We start from the raw sequence: 26045 nt of genomic DNA on the forward strand, positions 1-26045 counted from the left end.
AACCGAACCTGAAAATGCAGAACTTAGAAACTTGGATCCTGCGTGAGCAAGTGCCTTCCTACGGTACAAATATCTCCTTGTAGAAAGAGTAGTAGAATCGCACAGTTTCCAGTGTATTCATCCACCTCCCTCCTATGTGGTGTAATAAACATGTTCAGGAGTTAGATTCTTGTGAACACTTACAGAGCCATTAAATAACCTGTGCTAACTTTCGAGCTGTGATTACAGAATGAGTCAGTGAGTCAGTGGCATGGATACAGCTACAGCTGAATCCCTATATATTTTTTTCTGTTTGGAAGTTTTACTCTTAATTGTTGTGTCTCATTTGAAAGGCTTTTATAAGCCTTTTAAAAGATATTCATTGGCCAGGTGTAGTGGCCCATGCCTGTAATCCCAACACTTTGAGAGGCTGAGGTGGGAAGATCACTTGAGGCCAGGAGTTTGAGACCAGCCTGGGCAACATTGCAAGACCCTGTCTCTACAAAAAATAAAAATAAAAATTAGCCAGGTATGGTGGCATTCACCTGTAGTCCCAGTTACTTGAGAGGCTGAGGCAGGAGGATCACTTGAGCCCAGGAGTTTGAGGTGGCAGTGAGCTGTGATTGTGCCACTGCACTCCAGCCTGGGTGACAGAGCAAGACTTTGTCTCTTAAAAAACAAAAAAGTATTACTATCAGCCTAAATATGCTTGTAACAACAACAAAAAAAATTTAGGAAAGGGGCTCCAAACAAAATCATAGAAATTGTAAGACTGACTTCTTTGATCCATTTAATAAGCTTGACATGAACATGTTCTCTGGACCTAGAAATGAGCCAGGGCCATGAGAGGCACATAATGAGGAATGATAAAATAGGATTCTTGTCTTTAGGGAGCCTCAAATCTGGAAGAATAGCATTTTGCATTGGAAGGAACTTTAGAGAATGTCTTATCCAATTTACCCTCAACTTTTCATCTCCCACTAAACAGCACCCTCCATAGCAAAGAATGAGACATTCCCGTTTATATCAGCTGGGAAGGAATTATGAGGCACATTATGTTCTGAACATTGCTTGAAAAATTTATTCTGAAGTATTATGTTATTTCTGGTGCACTTTATTCCTCTCTTTCACAATTCTATCAAGTGCAGGCACATTCTGCTCTGTTCCTAGAGAAAGCATTCTTGGAGCAGACACTTCTAGACTCCCCTCACTTCAATTCCATTTTTCTAAGTTGATTCAAAAAGGAGTACCAAAAAATTGTAAGCTCATATTTACAAAATTGATTGTTGGAGGCTTGCTTAGAGATGCATAATCATACCCTGCCTCTCTTCTGGGCTTCTTACAAATTGAAAACAGGCACAGGGAGCCGGATGAGTATCATGGTCAGTATCTACCTTATTAATGGGCCGGATGATTCCCAGGTGTGGATCTAGAGTGAGTTTGGAATATATTTATAACACTTAAAACATCAAATGATTTGTAGGCATAATATATAAAGAAGTAATATTAGTGCAAACCGGTAAAAACCATCAATTAAACTACAATAAAGTTCACTGCAGCATTCTTTATTCAACAGCCAAAAAACTGGAAGAAAACTAAGTATCCACCCATGGAGAAATGAATAATTAAAATCCTCCATATTCATACAGTGCAATATTATGCAGCAGTTAAGAGACATAAACCAAGCATATAGATATATATATACACATGTGTATATACACATACATATATATGTGTGTGTATATATACATATATATGTGTGTATATATATACATATATGTGTGTGTATATATATACACATATATGTGTGTGTATATATATACATATATATGTGTGTGTATATATATACATATATAGAGAGAAAGAGTCACAATTATAGATTTCAAATACAATTATTAAGTGAAGAGAGGATTATGCAGAATGATAAAAATTGTATGATACCATGTACATTAAAAACACACAAATACATTGTTTATAGATGGACATTCAACAAATATTTATTAAGCACCATCAGTTTTTACATGGCATATTTACAAATGGCATGTGTTTTTATCTGTTATATATTTAAATATTCATATACACATAAAAGTGTAGTATATTTGTTATATCGATATAAGATGAATATCAAAGTATCTAAAATGATACCAAACATACAAACCGACCAAACCCATGAACATTGCTGTGCCCGGGGATGGGGAATGAGAAATGGGTGGTAGTTTCATTTCTTAGAAGGAGGGCAGAGGCTAGCAGGAGATGGTACAAAATATTACTAGTTCTTATGTCTAGTGGTGGGAATATAGTGTCTTTACATTCTTCATACTTTTCTGTATCTTTTAAATTTCTCAAAATCAAAAGAAGTCTATGAAAACAGGAATGTGTTTTTTGACAAAGTGTCAAATAGAAAAAACAAAGATTACACAGTGGTCACTGGCTTTGCTACACCTTCCCCTGGGTCCCAACATGTGGATTTGGGTGGAAGAAAACCTTCAGGAAGTGCTAACATATGGGCTATGGGCCGTGGGCCCTGCTCTAGGTCACCTGAAACACTGCTGATTTAGATTTCACTTGAAATCACTGCTGTTTCCAAGGGCTCTGATAGTCATGGCCACAGATGCAGTTGAATTGCCTGACCTCTATTAATTGCTGTTCTTATTGGCCAATTAGCCAAATGTGTGACAACCCTTAATTTAACCTGTGTTTCATAATTCAGTAAGCCGGATAGTACCCACGGATCAGTAGTTCTGATGGCCCCAGCCTGTCACGTGTCCTCTGGGGATCCTTTGATTGTTATCCTCCCAAAGTGCTCATTCCCAGAAAATGGATTAATCAGGCCAGTGAAAGCCTCAGGCTCCATAATAAAGTCCCATGGGCCTACTTATCTTCCTCTTCTGGGGTGCATGCAGGTTGGCCACCTTAGCCATGCCCTAGAAGAGGAAGGAAGCCAAACAGAAGTGTTCTTCCCAACCCTGGGTCCCAGATGCCCACTCCTTACTGCGCTCTGGGCCTCTCTCCTTCCTGTCTGGCTAGTCCATTGTTCTCTGCCTTCTAGAAAGAGGGCCCTCCCATCAATAGCTGAAGTCTTCTTCCTGGCCAAATGCATGTGCTTCCTATTCTGAAAGCAAAGAGAAAGGAAGGGAAGGTGAGCCCTGTGGTCCCTCAAACAGTGTCACCCCCCTTTGTGGAGAGGAAAGAAAGGAACCAACTTAAAGTATGTCCCTCACCTCTCCCTCTCCAGAGGCCCAGCCCATGGAACAGTGAAGGGGCAAACCCAACCTCTTCTTTCTCCACATGTGACTGGATGAGTCAGTCACCATCCAGAGGGTCTCAGCAGGTGTGAGGCAAGGGACTAATGGGGACCTACCAAGTTCTCTAATCCAGCAAGAAAACTGATCCTCATCTAACTCTTTCTGTATTTCCTGGTTAAAAACTGTAATGAAAGGAGATGTGTGATTAGTCTCCCCAAACCTCCATCCAAGTTCAACATAAATTCTAGGGTGTATGTGGAACAGAGAGCTCTTTCAGAGCAAAGAGCTCTAAAGAGTTTGTCTGGAAGGCACATCAAGAGGCAAATGAATTAAAATGCCAGATTTGCTAAAGCCATTGTCCAAAAGGAAGTGAATCCTGGGGGAGGTGTGTGAGGCTCCAGTCTACCAAGTGGGTTTTCCCAGGTTTCCTGGCTTGAGGGCAAGGTGGTAGCATTTGCATCTTAACTGTTACACTTGAGAAGACACTAAGACATCCCTTTTAATTAAGTCCAACAAATAGCATGGAAATCTTCCACAAAAAAATTCCACAAAAAATTATGATATGTCTGATTAGAAGAAATCAGTCACAACAGGGAAGAATTTTACAAGATAACGTTAAGTGAAAAAAAGCAAACTAAAACACTGTGTCTATAATAGGATTAAAATGGTATAAAAATGTCATGCATATGGACAAAGATTGAAATGAAATTTGAAGACTGATTGGGAAGAGATGCTGTTGGAGATGAATTTTTCCATTTAATTTTGATTTTCAATGTTTTCATGTTTGTAAAATAAGAACAGTTTTTGCAGAAGAGCTCTGGAGAGATGTCTCTCAAGGTGGAAATTATCCCTGCTGTTTGAGCTCTAAAGAGGGCAAAACCCTTGAACAGTGTTAGCCTCTGATGCTACTGGTGGTTAATTCTGTTCTCTGGGGCAGGGCAGGCAAACTATGGCCCATAGGCCACATCCAGCCTGCGAGACAAAAATGGTTTTTACACATTTAAATGGTTGGGAGAAAATGAAAGAAGACTATTTTGTGACATGTGAAAAACAGCATGAAATTCAAATTTCAGTGTCCATAAATAAAGTTTTATTGGAACTCAGCCATACTCATTCATTTACTTTTATCTATGGCCGCTTTCAAGCTTACAATGGCAGAGTTGAAGCGCAGTGAGACCATATGGAATGGAAGGCCTAAAATATTTACTGTGGCCCTTCCCAGAGGAAGTTTGCCAAGGCCTGCTCTCGGACATCAGTTCAGTATGGCCAAGAGAACGTGGTCGTCTGCATTATCTCTCCATGTCTTTATCCTCACTCCTGCTCACCTCCTTGTGGGGAAAGAACATCATTGAAGTCATCCAAGTGCCAGCCTCAGATAAAGCTTGAAAAGTACGTGGCTTAAAGCTTCTAGGCCAGGCGCGGTGGCTCACGCCTGTAATCCCAGCACTTTGGGAGGCCGAGGCAGGCGGATCACGAGGTCAAGAGATCGAGACCATCCTGGCTAACACGATGAAATCCTGTCTCTACTAAAAATACAAAAAAATTTAGATGGGCATGGTGGCAGGCGCCTGTAGTCCCAGGTACTCGGGAGGCTGAGGCAGGAGAATGGCGTGAACCTGGGAGGCGGAGCTTGTAGTGAGCCGAGATCGCCCACTGCACTCCAGCCTGAGCAACAGAGCGAGACTCTGACTCAAAAAAAAAAAAAAAAAGGCTTCTAAAATATCCTCCTTACTGTTGGTGAAATGGGGATTCGGGTATAATAAACACTTCATGGGGGTTTCGAAGCTGTTTAGTTAATACTTACTCTCTCTTGGAAATGAAAAGCCCAATATCCGGGGATTGTTGTCACTGCTGTTATTATCACGGTGATCATTCCTATATATGGTCAAAGAAACAGTCAGAGGCTGTCACACTCCACTGCTCATTACAAACGAGACCTTTTTCCAGCTGAAACAATAACACGTGAGTCTAATTAGAATAAAGCTCATTAGAGACGGAGAAAGCCATTAATGCCTCGATTGATTTTTCTAATGAAGTAATCCAGGGGAGGAGACTTTAACAGCACAGCTAATTATTTTTTGCTTTTCTTCAGTATGTCTTTGGCATTTAAAACTGTTCTTATGACTTGTTGTTTGACTATAAACGAAAATGCTGCTGAAAAGTGCTCTGTGATTAAAGAGGCTCTGACACATCCAGCCCTGAGAAAGGGATGGAAGGCACCTGCTTCCTACAGGAGGAGGGCCCTGCAGCCCTGCAGGCGGTGGTTTAAGCCCAGCAGCCCCTGGGGATAGCCTTCCTTTCACTTTTCCAGCCTCCTCTTCCTGTGTATTCTGGATTCTAGCTAGTCGTGCACAGATGCTCAAGCTGCAGAACGTGGTTATCTGCTCCTGCAGTCCTGGTTCAAGGACAGAGCTGAAACATACAGATTCTTATGGAAACTTGGATCTGAGGTTGCCTCTGGATGGTAAAACATGGAGGAAGGGGTTAGGGGATAAAGGGTGTTAGGTGGACAGAGGAGGGAGATGCCTATTAAATTTATGCACCAGAATGCAGGTGGGGCAATTGTGCTTCATTAATCAGGATGCTGTTTGCCACTCAGAAAGCAGTTAAGTCCCACAGTACAGGATAAAGGCTGTCAAGGAAGGATAACAATAAGTCAAGAAACTGAGACTCAGGATATAATAGACTTGGGAGACTCAGAACAGAGAGGATGGGAGGAGGATGTGGAGTAAAAAACTGCATATTGGTACAATATACACTGCTTGGGTGATGGGTGCACTAAAATCTCAGAATTCACCACTGTGTCATTTATCATGTAACCAAAAACCACTTGTACCCCAAAAGCTACTGAAATAAAAAAATTTATAATTTTTTAAAAGCCTTACTGAATGAGGAAATTATTCAACAAAAGGCATTATCTCAGTGACTGTGTTATTAGAAATATAGTTTAGTGATAATGCACAGTCCAGCAACTAACAGAGATTCCCAGTGTCATCCAGACAGGTAAAGGAGCGGAGGAAAAATTCTTCAGGTGATCCTTCAGCTAGTCACCAAGCCAACAAGAGCCTGCTTTATCACAAGCATAACAGCTTACACTTCCAGACAGAAAGAAGCCTCATTAAAATGAACTTCTGTCATGAGCCTTTATTACAAAACTTCATGTTTGCTTTGTACAAACCCAAGAGTCTTGACCGGACTTGTTTGCTGACTCCATTGCCCTACCCATGAGGTTCTTTAACTCAGAACTTTATGATGAAAGCAAAAGACAGAGTTTAAGATGCCTGGCTGAGGCCGGGTGTGGTGACTCACACCTGTAATCCCAGCACTTTGGGAGGCCAAAGCAGGTGGATCAGCTGAGGTCAGGAGTTTGAGACTAGCCTGGCCAACATGATGAAACCTTGTCTCTGCTAAAAATACAAAAATTAGCCAGGCGTGGTGGTGCATGCTACTCGGGAGGCGAAGGTTGCAGTGAGCCAAGATTGTGCCACTGCACTCCAGCCTGGGCAACAGAGCCAGGCTCCATCTCAAAAAACAAAAAAAAGCCCACTGAACATTATGGAAAGAGAACTGGACCTGATTCCACATGTGATTTATGTGGGTATTAGTAGTCCCCTTTATCCACTGTTTCAGTTACCCAGAGTCAACAAGAAGAAGGGTGAGTATAGTACACTAAGATATTTTGAGAGAGAGAGAACACATTCACATAACTTTTATTATAGTATATTATTAGAATTGTTCTATTATTAGTTGTTACTGTTGTTACTCTCTTGCTGTGCCTAATTCTTTTTCCTTTTCCTTCCTTTTTTTTTCTTTTGAGACAGAGTTTCACTCTGTCACCCAGTCTGGTGTGCAGTGGCACGATCTTGACTCACTGCAACCTCCACCTCCTGAGTTCAAGTGATCTGCAGTCTCAGCCTCCCGAGTAGCTGGGATTACAGGCGCACGCCACCACGCCCAGCTAATTTTTGTATTTTTAGTAGAGATGGGGTTTCACCATGTTGGTCAGGCTGGTCTCGAACTCTTGACCTCAAGTGATCCACCCACCTCGGCCTCCCAAAGTGCTGGGCTTACAGGTGTGAGCCTAATTTATATAGTTAGGTACGTATGTGTAGGAAAAATATAGTATATGTAGAGTTCAGTACTCTCTGAGGTTTCAGGCATCCACTGGTGATTTTGGAACAAATCCCCCATGGATAAGCAGAGACAACTGTACTTAAATAAATACAAATAATGAATAATGGACAGTGGGATTCTAGTATCAACTTTGGTTGCCTCTCTTTGCAGTCCTGTTGCCCCTCTCCTAAGTTCCAAGCTATTCATGTAACAGGGCCTATGCCCTATTCTGTGTGCATAGTTTTGCTCAAAACTTATTATCAGTTGTGTTGTTTAAAAAGGCTGCATCTTCCATTATGATGTGCAAAACGTTGATGGTTTTCTTCCCTTACTAAAGTACCAGGACACTTTCTGTGTAATACCATTTAACAGCCTCCACCCTGCTACCCCCACACCCCAGCACTGCTTCCCTCCAAAGCCAGAGTGTTCACAACCCTTGGATATGGGCCACACGAGGACTCCATTAGGTACCCAAAATACAAAGATGGACAAGAAACATGTTTTCCCCCTCAGTAAGGGAGGCAAACATTTTGCCTAAAATTCTATACAACATGATGGTGCGATGGAAGGACCACTGAGAAGGGAAGAGACTGTTTCTCCCTAGGGCAACTACAGGGAAATCCCAGCTACTTGGGAGGCTGAGGAAGGAAAATTGCTTGAACCTGGGAGGTGGAGGTTGCAGTGAGCTGAGATCATGCCACTGCACTCCAGCCTGGGTGGCAGAGCAAGACTCTCTCTGAAGAAATAAAAATAAAGAGATGGGAGCAGGAGAAGCCAGCCAGGACAGAGTGAGAAGCACCGAGGCCCTTTGGTACTTGGCTTCTTTGAGGATCTGAATGTGAACTGACTGATTGAGATGTGGGCCCCATTTCTCACCTAGACAGTTTTATTTTCTGTTGGACCAGTTGGTCTCATTTTTCAGTATCATTGTAAGAGCTATAATTTATTAAGCACCTACCATGTGCCTAGCTTTGCTAAACACTTTCATGTATATGCTTAATTCCCACAACTCTGCAAGTTAGGTTTTATTGTCCCCATTTTACAGATGGAGAAACAGATTCAACACTTCCTCTCAGTCACTTTCATCTAGTCTACTCCAGTGGGAGAATACTCAGTTCACACTGATTGTTACATGTCTGAGGGATGTGTGTATTGGGCTGAATGCATACATGTCTATAGAAACATACTAAAAACATATATGATGAATCATACCTGACACTGAATGGCAAGGCCTAGACCAGCAGTCCCCAACCTTTCTGGCACCAGGGACTGGTTTTGTGGAAGACAATTTTTCCATGGATGGGGAGTTGGGTGGGGCGGGGTGGGGGTGGTTTCAGGATGATTCAAGCACATTACATTTATTGTGCACTTAATTTCTGTTATTACATATTCACCATAATGTAGAATCAGTGGGAGCCTTGAGCTTGTTTTCCTGCAACAAGATGGTCCCATCTGGGGATGGTGGGAGACACTGACAGATCATCAGGCATTGGATTCTCATAAGGAGCACACAACCTAGATCCCTCACATGCACGGTTCACAGTAGTGTTCGTGCTCCTATGAGAATCTGATGCTGCCGCTGATCTGACAGGAGGCAGAGCTCAGCTTCACTCACTCGCCTGTCGCTCACTTCATGCTGTGTGGCCTAATTCCTAACAGGCCATGGACCAGTAGCGGTCCATGGCTTGGGGACTAGGGACCCCTGGCCTAGACTATTTGTCTATTTTAAACCTGTGGAGGAAAAGTACGTTAGGCACATTGGAGGAACAGTTTCTTAAAGTCACTCTTTGAGCTGTTGCTCTTTAAACTAGCAGGATTTAAAATTAGGATGATGTCCTTTCCTTAGTACTTCTAATTCTTATAGACACACTTCAACAAACAAAAACCCCTTACACTAGAACCTTAGAAATGTGTGTTCTGCACTGACATCAACTTACACTTCCAGGAGGATAATAATACAGATAACTGAAGAAGACGTGGAAGCCTCTACACAGAGTAGGGTGTGGTCGGAAAAATTTTGGTAGGCAAAGGTTCCTTGGGGTTTTTTGAGTCTGCACCCGAAGGCACTCATGGTTCTTTCAAACAAGCCTTCTTTGTCACCATCACTAGGAGTTTCTGTTCTCCCAGCTTTCGAGGGCCTCCTAGGGATCTTGCTCTCTGCAGCTTTCAGTGTGTCCTTTGCACAAGGGTGGGATTGTGACTAAGATCCTCCAGTTCTAATTGAGTAACGCATCCTGACAAAGACTTCCATTTGGGGTTCCTTTAAGGGGGAAGGGCATACTTCTGCGAAGAATTGCTGTGTATCTCCCAAACCCGGCTCCCACTTCCTGCTTTCTGACAGCTGAAGGTCTTCAGGTTCTCTTTTTGGCACAGTTCTTTAAAAATTAAATGAGACATGAAGTCATGCTACAGAAGCAGGCTCCCTGTCCTGCCCAGTAGGGCCAGTGTGCAGATGGGGTCCCCTGTGATGCTGAGATGGGGCCCCTCCAATGACAATTCTCTCAAATCCCCTTTATTTTTATTTACTTATTTATTTTTAAAATGGCATATAGTAATTGTACGTATTTATAGGGTACATGTGGTATTTTGATACATGCATACAGTGTGTAATGGTCAAATCAGGGTACTTAGTATATGTATCATACCCAAGAGTTATCATTTCTTTGTGTTGGAAACATTTCAAATCTTCTCACTACTTTGAAATATACAATATATTACTACTAACTCTAGTCACCCTACTGTGCTGTTGAACACTAGAATGTATTCCTTCTTAACCATCCCCTCTTCATCCTTGCCCCAAGCCTACTATCCTTTGCACAAGGTAATCGCCTCTGGTAATCACCATTCTCAGGTCTCCTTTCTTAGAACGGCACTGGATGGCCATATGGTTTATGGCCATATCTTACTTTCAATGTGTTTTGATTTCAAAGTTTGTTACCAAAGAAGTTGCTTCTCAGTGCTGCTGAAACAGGTGATAATAAAAATGAAGCTGAATTGAATTTGAATTTAGTTACCAAATCACTGCAGTTGTAACAAAGGCAAGGAGCAGCCCTGTGGGCTTGCGCTTCTCTGAGCTTCCCCCGCAAGCATTAGGGCTTCACTCTTTGCCTTGCAGGACTGATATAAATAGTACGTAAAATAATATCTGCAAAGCAGCTAATGCTGTTTTCTTGCTCCTTTGTTTAGTAATGATAATAATTTCAGAGTAGCCAATGCTTGGGAAATGAAAGTTGCAGAGTCCTGTGTTTACAAAGAAGGTTTATATTGTATTTGTCCCTCAAAAGGTGGGGTTGGGGAGCCTTTACTGTGGTTTGAAATGGTCCTTCTACTACATAACCCAGAAACTCATTTACCAAATTGAAGACAATGAGAACACCACCTTTCATGTATGCATGTGTGTGCATGTGTGCACGTGTGTGTGCTTGTGTGTGCACACGTGTGTATGTGTGTTGTGTGCACGTGTGTGTGTGTGTGTGTGTATCTGTCTGCCATTCCTTCCACGTTCTTCCTCATGGATGAAGCACCCTCTAAACTCCACATTGGCTGGCTGAGACTTTGCTTTGATTTGAGGCCTCATTTAGTCACAGGTAGTAGAGGGACTTCGGTTTCTGCCGTAGAAGTTTTATTCATGTACATCGGTTTCTGGCCTGTCTGGAGTGCAAGGCTGAGGTGGGAGGAAGAGTTCCCTGACACCTATCAGATGACAGCTTATGGTCATAGTCCTTACTCACCTGACAGCCACTAAGGGAGGAGGTCCCTATTCCCCTGCCAGGGGGACTGAACAAACACAGAGTTTATAATAACAACAATTACAATAATAGTAGCAGTAGTAGTAATAGTAGCATTAGCTAACATTTATTGACTACTTGCCAGACACTATATTTTTTTCCATTTAATCCTGACCATAACCCTATGGGATGGAGACCGTGATTATCCCCAGGAAACCAAAGCCCAGCAATTTGTGCGCTGTCAAACAACAGTGTATATGTACATATATACACTGGAGATGTCCACTTTCCTTTCCTAATAAAACCTTCAGGAAAACTCCATGAGCCCTACCTTTCCTCTCCACCTGAATACTTGGGTCCATTTGTAAGTTACCTCTCAGAGCCTCGTGAGTTGGGGATCTGTGGAGAGCATCATCTGATATTTATGGCATTGTGTGGATACATTTGTATGTGTCTTGTTCCCCAGATTAAAAAATAAATCCCCAGTGGCCAGGCACCTTTAAGTTCTTTCTAGCTCTCCAGTGTGTGACTCAGAGCATGTCTCCTGAGTGTTCTGGGCCAAGGCTAGGGATGGCATCTGCTTGGGCAGTGTCACCAGGGAGGCTGCCCATGGGATGACTGGCAAGTACACACTCCTTATGTCAGGAAGACTGGTTACCCAGCTTCTCTGCTCAGGAGAGGTTTTGTGCAGCAAGTAAAACAAGCCTAGAGATGACACTGGACTCAGACACTCTGCAAGCGGTAGGGGTGGGAGTTAGCAATCTGATGATGGAGGAAACCAAAACATGCTAAGGGGTGAATCCCATTCTAAGGGAGCAAGCAATCTGGGGCCAGTTGGCATGGGAGTGAGCAGCCCCACCTGCTTCCACAGGCCTGAAGACTTCATTGTGTGGCAGTTTGTTGTTGTTGTTTTTTTTTTTTTTTTTTTTTTTGAGATAGAGTCTCACTCTGTCACCCAGGCTGCAGTGCAATGGTGCGATCTTGGCTCACTGCAATCTCTGCCTCCCAGGTTCAAGCGATTCTCCTGCCTTAGCCTCCCAAATAGCTGGGACTACAGGTGCCCGCCACCACGCCCAGCTAGTTTTTGTGTTTTTAGTAGAGATGGGGTTTCACCATGTTGGTCAGGCTGGCCTCAAATTCCTGACCTCAGGTGATCCACCTGCCTCGGCCTCCCAAAGTGCGGGATTACAGGCGTGAGCCACCGTGTCCAGCCAGCAGTATTTTGTAATTTGCCAAACACACACGGGCATGGGCACATATACATCATGTGTAAAAGTATGTGCCAGAAATGATTTAATCACTTTATTACTATTAACTCATTTAATCTTCAACTATTCTGTGAAATAGGTACTATTGTTCTCTTCATTTTACAGATGAAGAAACTGAGACACAGAGAGGTAATTTTACCAGGATCCCAGAGCTAGGAAGTCACAGAGTCAAGATTAGCACCCAGCCACGTGGCACAAAATAATCCATTTTGATAATGCTTAAATATTAGGAAAATGTAAAATATTTCTGTTATATAGATAATGTGACCAAAAAACATGTAATACATCTGAGAAATAGTTATATGCAAAATTATTATTAGTATCGTTAAGTATTGGTACTTTTAGAAATAAGTTCTGCTTTTAAAAGAACATTCCCCCCCCCCAAGAAAAATGAAACATGTAGTGTGTATTTTAAAAGAAAAAGAAAAAGTTGAAGGAAACAAATAATAATAACACCTGACTTTTTACAAAACCCTTATCTATGACATCGGACACAGGCAGGGCAGGTGCCCTGTGATGGGTTACAGACCAAGAGAGTCATGTGTTTTGACCAAGACAAGCCAGCTCGGTTAAATGTGGATCCTTAAAGCCCAGCCCCAATCATGTCTTCATTGAGTTTATGACCTAGAGGAGAGAGGATAAAATATGTTCACAAATAACCATTGTACATAGTCCTTAGAGCTTCAGATAACCTGTTTTAGTTAGCAAATGAATCAGAAGCATCTTTGCCTTTCTTGTGCATCCCACACATACCAAGCACAGACCTGTTATGCGTGTTTAAGGATTCTTGTTTGTTGTTTTTTGTAATCCGTTTTAGAGTGAATTAAACTCAGACATCCCTGGATTGTATGCTGTCTGTAGAATGTTGATTTTCAGGCACGGGGATGTAGCTGTAGAATGTGGCTTGTTCATTCTTCCTGATAAGAAATTGATCTCCTGAATGGATTGGCCATTTGGTAATTTCTTAGTGAAAGGCTGACTCTTGAATATGGCTGTTATAATATAAATTCTTACCAACATAAAGTAAGGGCTTATTTGGGGCTTGGTAAAACTGTCATGCCTTGAAGTATATATAGCTTATAAATTGGCTAACATGTATTTATGACGTAGCTACCCCTGTGCCAGCTATCACTGACAAAGCCTGGATTCTGTTGCAAGGAGACATATATTGAGAGAAAATTGATTACAAGTAACTATTTCAGGCTCTGCTTTGAATTTCTCATTCACATGCTCTTTTTTCTTTTTCCCTCCAAGGGTCGGGATTACTGTTCGGAAGAAGAGGATATCACATAGCACCAATTTTACCACTCAAACCAGGAGCTACTACTGTGTAAATAGGTTACACCCCAGTTGAAATCTTTGCAAAGGTCGGTTCTATTCAGCGAACAGCACTATAGCAAAAGAAGATCGTTCCATATTGTACGCCCCATTAAATTACAGTGTTTCTTAATGAACTTGCAAAGGAATATTGCTAAAAACAAACAAAAAAAACTGTTATCGAACTTTCTTTGTTGCTGCTAGTTAAAACTTGTTGCAACTTTTCACTTCTCTTGTGTCCAGGTATGCAGCAAAATTCTGCAATTTCACCTTAAAGATACTGTTGGTTTTACAGATGCTCTCCAACCTATTTTCTATAAGATGAGGTAGTGGTGAACTCAGATAACAAACTTCTCTTCTAAACTGGTTCTGCTTCTAAGACAAGCATCTCCTGCCCTCTCTCCTTCCTCCCCATCTCTCGCACGCAGTCTAGAGATGGACTGAGCCTTGCTTCTCACTGGCAGTGTTGAGCTTTGGAGATGGGATGGTTGCTATGCCAAGCCTTGTTTCTCTGCTCAGAAGAAGTAGAGAAGCTATTATCAATTAAAAGCATGCTGTGATGTGACTCCTGGAAGTGACGTAGGAGTGAGTGGCAGGTTGTTTGATTTAATAGGTATCTTAATCAAGAATTAAGCTTGCAACATTGGCTTTGCTCAGATGCAGATGGAAGTGTGATCACAATCATTTTGAATCCCTCTTCCTCACTTTTTTTTCTAAGAAAATAAACATTTTACTGTTTTTATGGATCCTTGTCTTCTCCCATTCATCCAGCTCAGTGTTTTAAGATGATCCTGGGTGCAGAAGTTGAGCCCTCCTTTGCATTGACACTGATAATTAGCCTATAGGGCTCCCTACCCTTCCATTAAGAATCTACCAAGCATTAGCAAGGCTGAAAGTGGTCTAAGAGGTGAGGGGACATCCTATGACTTTTTAGGAAGGCCTGAAACCACCTTGTTACCTTTCATTTTGTTAGCAAATAAACCATCCTATTTTGTAACTCTCCCCCTTCAAAATGCTACATGAGCCTTGCCACTTCCTTTTTCTCTTACTTCCAGCACACTAGACATAGCAAAAGTGTTTGCCTACTCAAAAACATAATACTTTTATGCTGATGATGGTATTTGGAGATGTGAAAGCCAAAAGCCCCTGGCAGTGGTGGGGAATGTTGACTGAGTGTTCAGCAGAGTTTATTTTTCCATACTATATGAAGAGAATGATCTCTTCTCAAAGACAGAAGTGATATTTTTAACAAATATTGTCACAAGTAAATAGCAATCAAAAGGAGAAAATAACTTTTGTATTTTTTTAATGTGTTTGATAGCTTTGACGAGGGTTCTCTTTGTTACTTTCAGGGGAGGGCATCCTATTAAATGCCACGCCAGCAGTCCGGGTCTGGGTTTGTCCCACAAAATCACAGGAGCACTGTATGTTCCTCTCTTTTGGAGTTGTGACTTTGAAGGGCCTCAATATTAGCCACACTGCCGCCTGCAGAAGGTGGAGAGTTAAGATGTTCTATGTCAATTTGCTCTTGCCGAAAAGATGAGCCTCGATTTTAAAATCTATCCACATCCAACTGATGGCACCATTGATGTGCAAATAATGAGATTCCCTATCTCCTTTTAGACCTGGGACGGCAAAAGGGAAGGGAAGGAAACTTAGCAGAGTGCTATTGACTATAGATTCACATATTAGCAACAAAATCCCGTAATTCTTTTGGCCAACAGCAGCTATTTTGGGGAGCAGCTGTGGCTGTTACATAAATAGAGATGCAGCCAAAATTTTAGGCCTTTTATCCTGCTTCTAGCAGAAAAATGCAGGGAGAGTCAAGTAGTCTAGGGTTTCAGGTTGCCTCCCCTCATATGGTTTTTGGCCAAGTGACTAAAACAGTTTTCCACAACTGTAAACAAACTGCTAAGCCCCACCTCAAACTTGTTCACTGGGGACTTTGCTTACCGTTCTGTGGGTGACCTTTTCCGGGATTTCTTGTTCTTATCAAGCAAGAATTAAGCACATGCTAAACGTCTTCCATTTGACTTCTCTACTCGGTGTCTCAGACAGTGTCTTCCCAGAAAACCACCACCCTCTACCCAAAGATGAAACATGCTCATGTCATTTTTCTCATGGTCACATTTAACAGTTTTGACATGTTATACTTGCGCATAGATCCAAGCGTTTCTTGGGAACCTGACTTTTGAGTGTTTAATAAAGCCGGAAGTGGTGTTGCCCTGAACCAGCAGATTTTCACCTGGGTTCTGGCTCCGGTGTTTAACACTGGATACATCTTTGATGTGCGAAAGTGAGTTCATCTTCAGACACATTTGGTACATCCAGAAATAGATCCAAGAAATGGGGTGGTTGAGTGGGTCCGCACGAAATGCTTGATTATGTCAGCAACACCCAACACTGTCTGTTTTCCATTTGTTGGTTTTAATCATAAAATTGTCAAGTGATTCGTGTTTGTACTTTATTTTTTTGTGCCTTCTGAAAGGATCTAAAACAAAAATATTTTGCCTTTTTTTCCCCACGTGTATCTGAACATTAAGCAGATTGGCTCAGACACAATGAAAAGGATAATCCAATGTACGTGCTGGTGCACTCTGCTAGTTGTTATCTCTGTAGGGCTCAGGAAGCTGGAAGGAGGAAGGGAGGGTAAGTGGCCTGGTGAGTGGAGGTAGAAAAATGATGAGAAATGAACTGAGAGCATTAAGCAGAGAGGGTTGATAGGCTGGCCGTGTCCGGGGTGAAATTGGAAATCCAGCTGCCTAGTGGCCAGTGGGTGGGGCAAGACTGTCAACGAGATTTACAGCTGGCTTACACATGCCTTATGTCCTCTGAGTTGTAGAGTTGTAAAAGTTCAGCAGTGTGTGCACAGCTTTCTTTTGGTTGGCAGAGATTCAGGATCATGGAGTACTGCTCTCATAATTGAAGACGTGTTTGTTATTGGCAGAGAACCTTAAAAAAGGCCTTTACCTCAGCGATGCTTCCTAGCCCCAGGCTTGCAGAGAACACAGAGTGGTGTTGTGGTCTATTTAGGGACAAAGAAGGTATAAAGTCCAGAGATGAGAAAACTGGGTCAGCCCTCAGAAACTGCAGCAGCCACGCACACAGAAGCCTGCTGGAAGACAGGTCTCTCTCCGTCCACAGTGCCCATCATCTGAGCCTGGGCTGGGATGACTCAACTTAGCAAAGACGGACCCAGGAGGAGTGCTGGTTCTTCAGTCTTTGTACTGGCCCCATCCTCTCCTCACTGTAATGTGAGGAAGCACCTCTGTGTCAGGGCTCACCTGGGCATCCAAAGCGGCCACGCCCACAATCCGACAGCCCCCAGGAGCAGGTCCAGGGATGATGCAGCCCCCTTCTTGGTCCCATGTGATGTCATCCTGCTTTGTTATCTTCTTATAACTTTATCCTGCTATAACTTTATCCTCTTCCCAGCCTCATCCCTGTTTTTCTGTTAGGGCAAGACTCTTCCATAAGCCTGCTAAAAAACAGAGATGATACCTCTTACAAACTTTACCTCATAGCCTGTGAAGCAGGTTGGCATGTGGATTACAAGTCCTGCTTTGACACTGGGCAAGAATTTAAGATTGTTCTATCTCTACTAGTCATAGAAAAGAAACATTGTTAAACATGTTGAGTTTTAAAGGAAGAAATATTTTCAAATTCTTAATCCAAGAAAATACTGAGTTGGAATCTTAGACTTCGGGACTCTGACACGTTCTTTATGAAAGGCAAAATAATTGGTATCTAAAGTTCTCTCCTTCCTGCCTCCCCTAAAGAAAAAGGATATTAGATTGCACACTATAATTTTACATAAGATCTGCCTTCCACACTTCCCTGCTGGAAGGCATTCTCAGAGCTTTATGTCTTCGTACCTCTCAGAGATTGGACTTTTTCTTGTTTAAAACCCCAACCAAAAAAAATAATAAGGCATGATTGGTGGGGAGGGAATGTGTATTTAGGGGCATAATAAAAAGGTGGCTCGAAGCAGGAACTTTGGCCTCATGGTGTCATGGGTGGATGCCTGGACTCCAGTGTGCCTGTGAGGGGCTGGGTTAGGCAGTCGGCTGTCACACTCACATGTGCCTGCAATAAACCTTTTGGAATTTCATGAACGAGGTCTATGAATTGCCTTTTGCCAATGAATGGATGTATTTTTCCAAGGGGGGAATAGTATCCTTGACTTTGGCAGTCACCTTTTTGTATGTCTCTAGAAAGGGGTCAAAAAACTATGGTAAAGATGAGGCTTATGAGTGAATACCTCTGGGACAAACCTTAGGACTCACAAGCTATGCCATGTTTTTCAGGAGACTCTTGTACCTTATCTGGAATCTAATCTTGGGAGAAGAGGAAAAAGGAGCTAATATTTGTCATTTATACTCACTCTGTGCCAGATACTGTGCTAGGCATTTTATAATTGTTTTGTGTCATCCTCATGATAATCCTGTGAAGTAGATCTATTACCCCCGTGTTCTAAATAATAGATCTTAAGTGTGGAATGCATCTATCCAACATAAATGCCCATGTTGAAAGAAGGAAAGATGTCATTCAAGTATTTTTCAAATTCTTTTTATTATGACTATGCCCTTCGCAACACTGTGAAAACAACCCCTGGGGGCATCTGCCTTCCAGAATCTCTCTCTGGCTTCTCACCAGCTTGGTTTCCTCATGGGGAGTGTTTTATTTGGCCTCCCCTATCTGAGCTGCACACACACCAGGGGAGGCCACTGGCTAACAGTAGGACTTCAGTGCCCTGAGGAAAAGGCTTTGGGAATTTAGGCACACGTTTCTCTCCTTGGAATCCTTCTAGCATCTGGAAAAGGAACCTGGTATTTCTGCAGTTAGATACCAGATGCAACCAGAACAGGCTTTCGAGTGCTGTGATTTCTTTCCTGGGTTCCCAAGTCTTGTTGTTTCATCACAAACTGTATCTTTTTAAGGTTAAAAGTCTTGACCTTCATGGGGGTCTGGGACAATCCGATCTCCAAGCATGGAGGAAAGGCAATGCCTGGACCACTGACTTGCATTGAAATCCTTTCTTGTGGGCTAGGGTTTGATGTCTCTTTTTCATCTTTGGACTGGGGATCTGCATCTTCCAGGTCCATTTAAGCACTGAAACTAGATGCAAATCTCTTTCGAGACCTTACATGTTTTAGATAGTCATGTAATGACTTGGATAGACATTTAAATAACTTGTTCCAAGGTCGGAAGAGCCCAAGAACTCCTCAGAGTTCCTCTTCTTGCTTCTTGAATCACATCCTCTAAAGATGACTCATGTCTCCATAGCAACTGTTAAAGGTGCTGCCTAGACGGGACCCGCTCCCACCTTTACTTACTTTGCTCGAAGGAACCAAAACAATGTCCTTGTGTAAAGGGGCTGTCATATCCAGTTTTCCTTTGAAATCTGGCCCCCAAGATCCTGCTTCTTTCTAACCTGGCAGCTGTCATGTCCCTTCAAGATGATGTGGGAAATGGCCCTTACAACTTGGGAACCACAGAAATTGCTGTATTTCGGGAAGATTCACCTCTAAACTGAAGGCTTCATTCTGATAGTGTCTGCCCTCTCTACCCTGATTTCGCCCTTCTTTGCTTCCATTTTTAGCCCAAGGCTTTGAATTTGATTGAGTAAGACTTAGAGGCAGTATAAAGAACACCATAAACTTAGGCAGAGGTCCCTTAGGGTCTCTAGAGTTGAAAATAATTCTACAGCCTTAGGGGGACCTCTTGGCATTGACTCTAAAGGGAGAGAATAGCCCCTGTGTCCTGGCATTTCAGTCTAGACCTTCAAGGACTGTTCTCTCTTGACAGGCAAGCAAGCAAAGAAAGTTTTGCAATAGATTTCAAGCCAGTTTTTCCATTCAAACCAAGATGCAAATTCATAAAATTACTCTTTTCCTGGAATAGATCCAGGCAGCTGCCTTATTAGAACTTTAGATTCGGATCTATTTTCTTAACACACATACACATACACGCGCATACATACATATACAGAGAGATACGTGGAGAAAGGAAATTTACTCTATCATTGCAATACTTCAAGAAAGAGCTGTATTTTGCCTTTCTGTAATCTCCAAGATAGTGTCTAGGAAAGTAATAGTATAACTATAGGGATACCGAAACAGGAAAAACCAGCCATCACTCTTGAGAAAGTTTGAGTTCGACTCACATGGGAGAATCGAGGTCTGCTACTCGTCTTGCTTTGTGCCCCATCTGTGCCTGGATGCCCTACTACATCTGCTTGACTCGTCTGGGCTGCTAGCCGGGGTGTTGTGGCTGACATCCTTTCCTGGCCTTACACACATAATAGACACATCCCTAACGGCGTGTGCCTGGTCCAGCCACATACAGCCACCACATGTGTCACACACTGTCCCCCTCATCCATGTGGACTTGACTGGCATTTCAGCAGCTCCACTGGGATGCTCTAACCCCAGTGTGTGGAGTTGGGGTCCCTTCATCTAGGTTGACCCAGGTATAGCATTTTTAGCATTGCCTTTCCAGTCTTGATGATTCATTCATTGAACTCATTTATTTCTGGAGCCCCTGGTACACTCCAGGCACTGCGCTAATTGCCAGCAAAGCACAACTGAACTAAATCCACCTTCAAGGAACCTAGCCATAACGAGGGAGGCAGCATGGAAGTACCCTACAGGGGAAAGTCCTGAGTGCTGTGGGAGCATCTCACCGTGGCAGCCAGCCCAGTTTTGGCAATCAGGGGCTTCCTGAAAGAGGTGACATCAAAGCCCGGATGTGTCAGAGGACTGAGGGAGAGTGTTACTAAAGGACTTTCAGGCTGAGAGGATAGCACAGGACTCAGCCCAAAGGAGGGCCAGTGTGGACTGTCCAGGGCCAGCCTGCAGTACAGAGGCTGGAGCTTGGACTTGTAGAGGGAGAGAGAAGAGCAAGGGACGTGGACGGGGCAGTGAGCCAGGCTAGCCACAGAGGGTTCCCGGGGCTTTGCTGGGGATTCAGGGAGCATAAATAAGAGCTTTAGGTGGTGCTGTGTCCTCTGCAGCCCACTGCTGAGGTCCTCCAGACAGGTAAGGTGTGGTCACAATCAGGGCCGGGGTTTCCCTGCTCACTGCGGCAGTGCAGGGGTGCTTGCTGAGATGATTCATCCCAGGGTGTCCTCTGTCCCTTACCCAGCCCCAACTCCTCTTCCTCTGCCAAAAGCTATTTGAATTCAAGGACTTTAACCTGGGCCGGATCTGGTTTGGAGACAAAGGGGACAGCTCTGGGTCAGCATGACCTTCTTTAGAGCCACTAAGGCGAAAAATACCGTTTGGGACCAGGCTGGCCTAGACCCAGGGATGAGAATGCACCCTAAAATAAATATACGGGAAGCAGCAGAGGGCTTCCCTGTCTAGTGTGTGATCCTAACTAAAGGCAGCTCTCTTGGACAGCCTTCCCCTGGATTAGGTCACATACACCTGGTGGCCAAGCCTCTGCTGGGTCCCAAATACACACCCGAGTCCTGCCAAAGAAAGGAGATTTTTAAAAAGCACAGACAAATTGTATGCAAGTGGAAAATACCCATAGGCCTAGACAGCTGTGGAGGGAAGACCTCGTGGGTACCTGGAGGCTGCCAGAGCTGGGAGCTCTGCAGGTATGAGTCAGGGAAGGCTCAGAGACAAGCAGAATCTCTCTATGGAGACAACTTGCAGTGCCTTTTAGGTTTTCCAAATAACCTCGGAGTTCAGAGCATTGGGTTTTTTTCTCCCCTCCCCACCCCCAGAAAAATAATTAGAAAAATGTTTAGGAGAAAGGAAAAGAATTAGATGCATCAGAATACCAGCTATAAGCCAACACTGTTTCCAGAAACTCAAGAAAAAGCTCAAACAGAAGACAGTTCCCCTGAGAGGCTGGAGGCGTTGGTGCTGAAGGCAATTTTCCTAGCTAAGGGGCACTGGGCCTTGCTGCACCTTGGGGCTGACCTTTTTTGCAAAACACCCACCCCTGCCCTCCTGGCATACTCAACAGCAACGCCAGCTTTCTGGACCCTTGGAAAGATGTTAGCTCAAACACCCACTTTTTCCAGATCTTCCTCTTGCTCTTCACTGAGGAATTTGTAATTCTGAGGCTAGCGATGCCCACTCGGATATTCCGCAGGCCCAGGTGTTTAGATTAGAATTTGTCCAGCGGTAATCCTGATGCTGGAAACCAACAAACATTTGGCCTCATATTCACCCATTTAAAAACTAGAGCCCCTGGCAGGTCCCCTTAGGGCCATGTGTTCATGGAATATAAGCCAAGTTTGCCTTAGGCTTGTTCATGGAATATAAGCCAAGTTTACCTCTCCCCATTTTCTGCCCTGGCCCACTTCCCACTCACCTCCACCTCATTGCCAGGAAGGGATCAAAATGCCTCCATGCCAGTTGTTAATGGCTACATATTTGCCCTTCCCAAGGGTATTTGCATTTTATTTAGGAACATGGCCTTATATTCAAGGAAAATCTAGCATCAAGATTACGAGGCATCACCTCTCAATCAGGTCTGGGAGGTATCTTGGGGCATTGCTCTTCTGAACACCTGCAGAGGCTTCCTCAGGTGAGTGTGGGAGCCCGGAAGGGTGGCCTCCCTAACCACTCTGCCTGCACATGAATTCTCCAAAGCAGTGGGCCCCCATCTGTTTCAATTACACATGCCTGTCAGCAAAAACTTCGTGAGATGCACTCTCTCTGTGTGTTTATTAATTTATTTAAAGCATATATCCCTTTACTTTTGTACTACTATATTAGGCACATTATAAAAAGTATACAGCATAGAAACTTTAAATGAATAAGACACAAAATATTATAAACAGAGGTTCTGGCATTTTCTCTCTGAACTCCTGAGGGGGACCTTGGGCACCTCCTGGTATGTGCACACCCCACTTTGAACACCCTTGCTTTAGTGCAAATCAGCACGCCTAAATAGCATCCCAAACCACTGTGCGACATTTGGCCTGCAGAATAAGAAAGTCCTAAGGCAGAATCCCCAGGAACTTCAAATCTGGGAGATGAGGAAAGAAAACTCACTCACAAACAACATAAATGTAAATAATTCAAAACCCTAAAGGAGAGCTGTCCCTAGACAGTAGTGGCTACAGGTGCTAAGCAAAAGTCAGGTACACTGGACAGAGCCATGCGATTGATTGTTCATCTTCCCTCTCTGGGTCTCCAGAAAAGGACACTGGCAATATCCCCAGCTCTCTCCTGATTGGAATTCTTTGAACCCTCGAAGTGCTCCAGCAGTACTACCCCCCACGTAGCAGTGGGCCCATGTCGCTTGAATATTATTTTTGATTTGACCACCAAGATGTAATGATGATTCTATTCCATTTTGAAAAGGGTCTGAGAAAGTGTACAGGTCTAATTATATATACATATTTATACATGTGTATTTTTGTTTATTGTTACATTTTGACATTGGACTTTCTATTAAATAATTTTTAAGAGTTGGCCTGGCTTTGTTCTCTTTTATGTCTTTCTTCTTTCCTTTCTCATGGAGGAGGCCATTGTAAATATCTGCAAAAGACCCTGTTAGTGTCCTTGTCCCTCCTCTCTTTTTGCCTTCCCTATTTCGTGTACATAAGGGCTTCTCTTACCATTCGTAAATGTTCTGTTTTTACTGGATATGTGGTACAGCAGGCACCCATATGGAAGGCCCCCAACCTTGTTGTCACCTCCTCCAACTTTCAGGGACAGCCCACACTGTCCTATCAGCCTCAGCAAATTCACAAATTCAGACCTGATGAAGGTGCAAGAATGGGCAATGCATAAAATAACGCCATGAGCCTTCTCTCCTGCTCAATCCCCACCACACACAGACGCGCACACACACACCATGTGCACACACACAGTCCTGTCTATGAGACCTTGGACAAGTCATTTAACCTTCCGGAGCCTACTAAAAACAATCATTTTCTCATGAGTTTGACTTGAGGAGATCCCACAGGAAGTGCTTAATGAACAACCTTCTGTTACACAATGACTCTTTTTTGTTTATTCATTCTACTCATTCAGCTGACATTTGTTAATTGTACAGTGTATGCCAGGGCCTGGGTCACCCACAAAGGGGCTCAGGGATGTGTGAATTTAAGGAATTCCCCACTCCAAGGTCAAAGGCCAGAGTGGCAGCATGAAGAATGAGGCCAGTACCATATAGTTTCTCACATACCCCACTGTCAACTATAACTACCTGGCATGTTTTAGAGGCTGAAAACATATGGATTCTCCCACTGCACTGGCCTTCCAGGATTTACCGAACAGAAATACGCACACACATGGACAAACGGTCTCAGGGCACTTTGTCAAAGCATGAAGCCAAAAGCTGTTTCCCTCTGCTCTGTCTTCACTGTCGCATGAGCCTGTTCATTTCTGACAAGCGTTGGTCCCATCAGCCCAGCCAGCCTTCCGCCCTCCAGCCTTGCTCTTGGGAACAGATTGTCTTCATGATTTCCAACTGGTGTGGTGAGAAGGAGGGAGGGAGGGAGGTCAAGCCAAGGACAGGGGAAGGAGTTGATAACTATTCCTAGGCTTCTTCCTCCAAGCCATGGAGCTGGAAGTTCAGATTTGCTGCTGAGTTTTATGAGCTGTCAAATAAGGCAAAAGGAAACTTGGGACCCAAACTTGTTCTTTCAGTAACAACAAACCTGTTTCTTCCAGCAGAGGCTTACTTGAAATCACAAAGGCCAGCCAAGCTGAAAGAGCTCCCTAACTCCACCTACCTTCCCCTGTCTCTCTCTCTCACACACACACACACACACACACACACACACACACACACACACACACACACACACACAAAGCTGGTCTCCCGTACCTCTGACTGGAACTTGGGGAGCTTCCTTAGTCTCATGCCGAAGAGGAGTCAAGCTTAGGAGACCTCTGGTCTGCTTCTTGGTGCTCCCTGAATGCTTGTTAGTGACGTCAGCTTCCAGTTTACTGGTAACAGCTGGACTGCTGCCGGAGGCCAGTAACCTGGAGTTCTCTTGCTTGGAAGCAGGTGATGGGAAGTGGGATGTGAGTGATGGAGGGAAAAGGAAGCTCAACTCCACCGAGCCTCAACACTTGATGGATGGGGCAAAGTGAGGAAACAGACCACAGAAGCACAGGAGTAAGCCACTGTTTCTGCCCCTCAAGGGTCTCCAGGCCACCATCATCCCTGCCACTGGCACTGCCCAACCTGCCACTTCCTTCTACAAAGCTGAAATGCAGTAATCTGATGGAGGACACAAACCTTTAACTTCCTCAGTTCACATCACGTTACTAATCCAGCCTCCTACTCTCCAGCAGCACTCAGCTTCCATCTGCTGGCCAGCTCTTTACGTGGTCCTCTCCTGACACTACCACGTTCCTTTGCCTATGCTGGCTCTTGCTGTCCCTTCGCCAAGAAAACTCTCCCATTTCTCCTTCCCACTGGGAACCAAGCCTCCTCTGAGTTCCAGTTAATATTGAGCACTCACATGAAGTCTCCTCACCGTATGACCTAACATATGCCCTTCGTTCCTGCCAAAGAACATTCCCTTTAGGAGGGGCCGGGTGTGGGTGGCAAGGTGGGGTAGGAATCCCTGACAAGGATGATCCAGGGAGAATTCTGGTGAGTAAGACCTGGTCTTCAAGTGCAACTTGGTCTTCAAGAGCCAAGTTGCCATGCTGAGGAAGGGTGACCCCAGAGCAGAGCCTAGGCCAGGTGAGGAGCAGGTCTGAGAGACGCGATGATCACAGAGAGTGGAACACCTGTGTTTAAGGACATGGCTACAGAACATACATTGTAAATAATGTTATAGCATTATTTCTAACAGTAAAAAATGGGACACAATCTTAGCACCCTTCAGAAAAAGAATGAATAAATAAATAATAATGAAGTTGATCTTGTATCAATAGGGATAAACCTCAGAAATACAACAGTGAATGAAAAACACACAAAGGATACAGTATGACACCATTTATATAAAGTTTGAAAGCTTGCAAAACCATATCTATTATGTGTGGATACTTACATGTATAGTAAAAGTATAAAAACATACATGGAAAACATAAATACCAATTTCAGAAGAGCAGGAAGAAGGCAGGAAATGGCACAGGTGAGGGTTAACAATGTTCTAGTCTTTTAAAACATCAGCTGAAGAAAATATGGAGACATAGGGACAATATTCTCTATACTCCTGCGTGCTTGTACTATTTTATCATTTTTAAAGGAACAAAGAGTGCTCTAGGAGCAACTTCATGTTGGTGATAGACTGCAGCTGGTTGAGCTTTGGGTGCTGCAGTCAGCCACAGGTGAGAACGGTGACGGTGTGACAGGGAATGGGCACCACTCCTCTCAGAGCTCTGGTGGCTTTTCAAATCTGCTTCATCTCCTATTTCTGTGTCCTTGTCTCTAGTTTTCATATGTAGATGACATGGGAAGGA

At 43.6% G+C, this 26045-nt stretch overlaps 1 protein-coding gene and 1 long non-coding RNA gene across 3 annotated transcripts in view; one reads left to right on the top strand and one right to left on the bottom strand.

Annotated features, from left to right (window-relative positions):
• C1orf21 (chromosome 1 open reading frame 21) overlaps positions 1-23089 on the top strand; it is a 241991-nt gene extending 218902 nt beyond the window's left edge. Inside the window, exon 6 of the mRNA NM_030806.4 lies at positions 13588-23089. Within this exon, the coding sequence (NP_110433.1) occupies positions 13588-13626 (39 nt within the window). The 3' untranslated portion in view covers positions 13627-23089. The remainder of the gene's footprint in view (positions 1-13587) is intronic.
• On the bottom strand, positions 1529-24546 carry LOC107985236 (uncharacterized). Of its 2 annotated transcripts, XR_001738328.3 has the most exons (4): positions 24454-24546; positions 23237-23379; positions 5029-5171; positions 1529-3091 (listed from the first exon to the last, which is right to left on the bottom strand). It is a non-coding gene; the product is annotated as an uncharacterized LOC107985236 (long non-coding RNA). The 2 variants fall into 2 exon arrangements; XR_001738327.3 differs by having other exon boundaries at positions 1529-5171.
• Positions 24547-26045: the final 1499 nt, after the last annotated feature.

The sequence above is a fragment of the Homo sapiens genome, chromosome 1 (assembly GCF_000001405.40).
Source record: "Homo sapiens chromosome 1, GRCh38.p14 Primary Assembly".
Classification (NCBI taxonomy): Eukaryota; Metazoa; Chordata; class Mammalia; order Primates; family Hominidae; genus Homo; species Homo sapiens.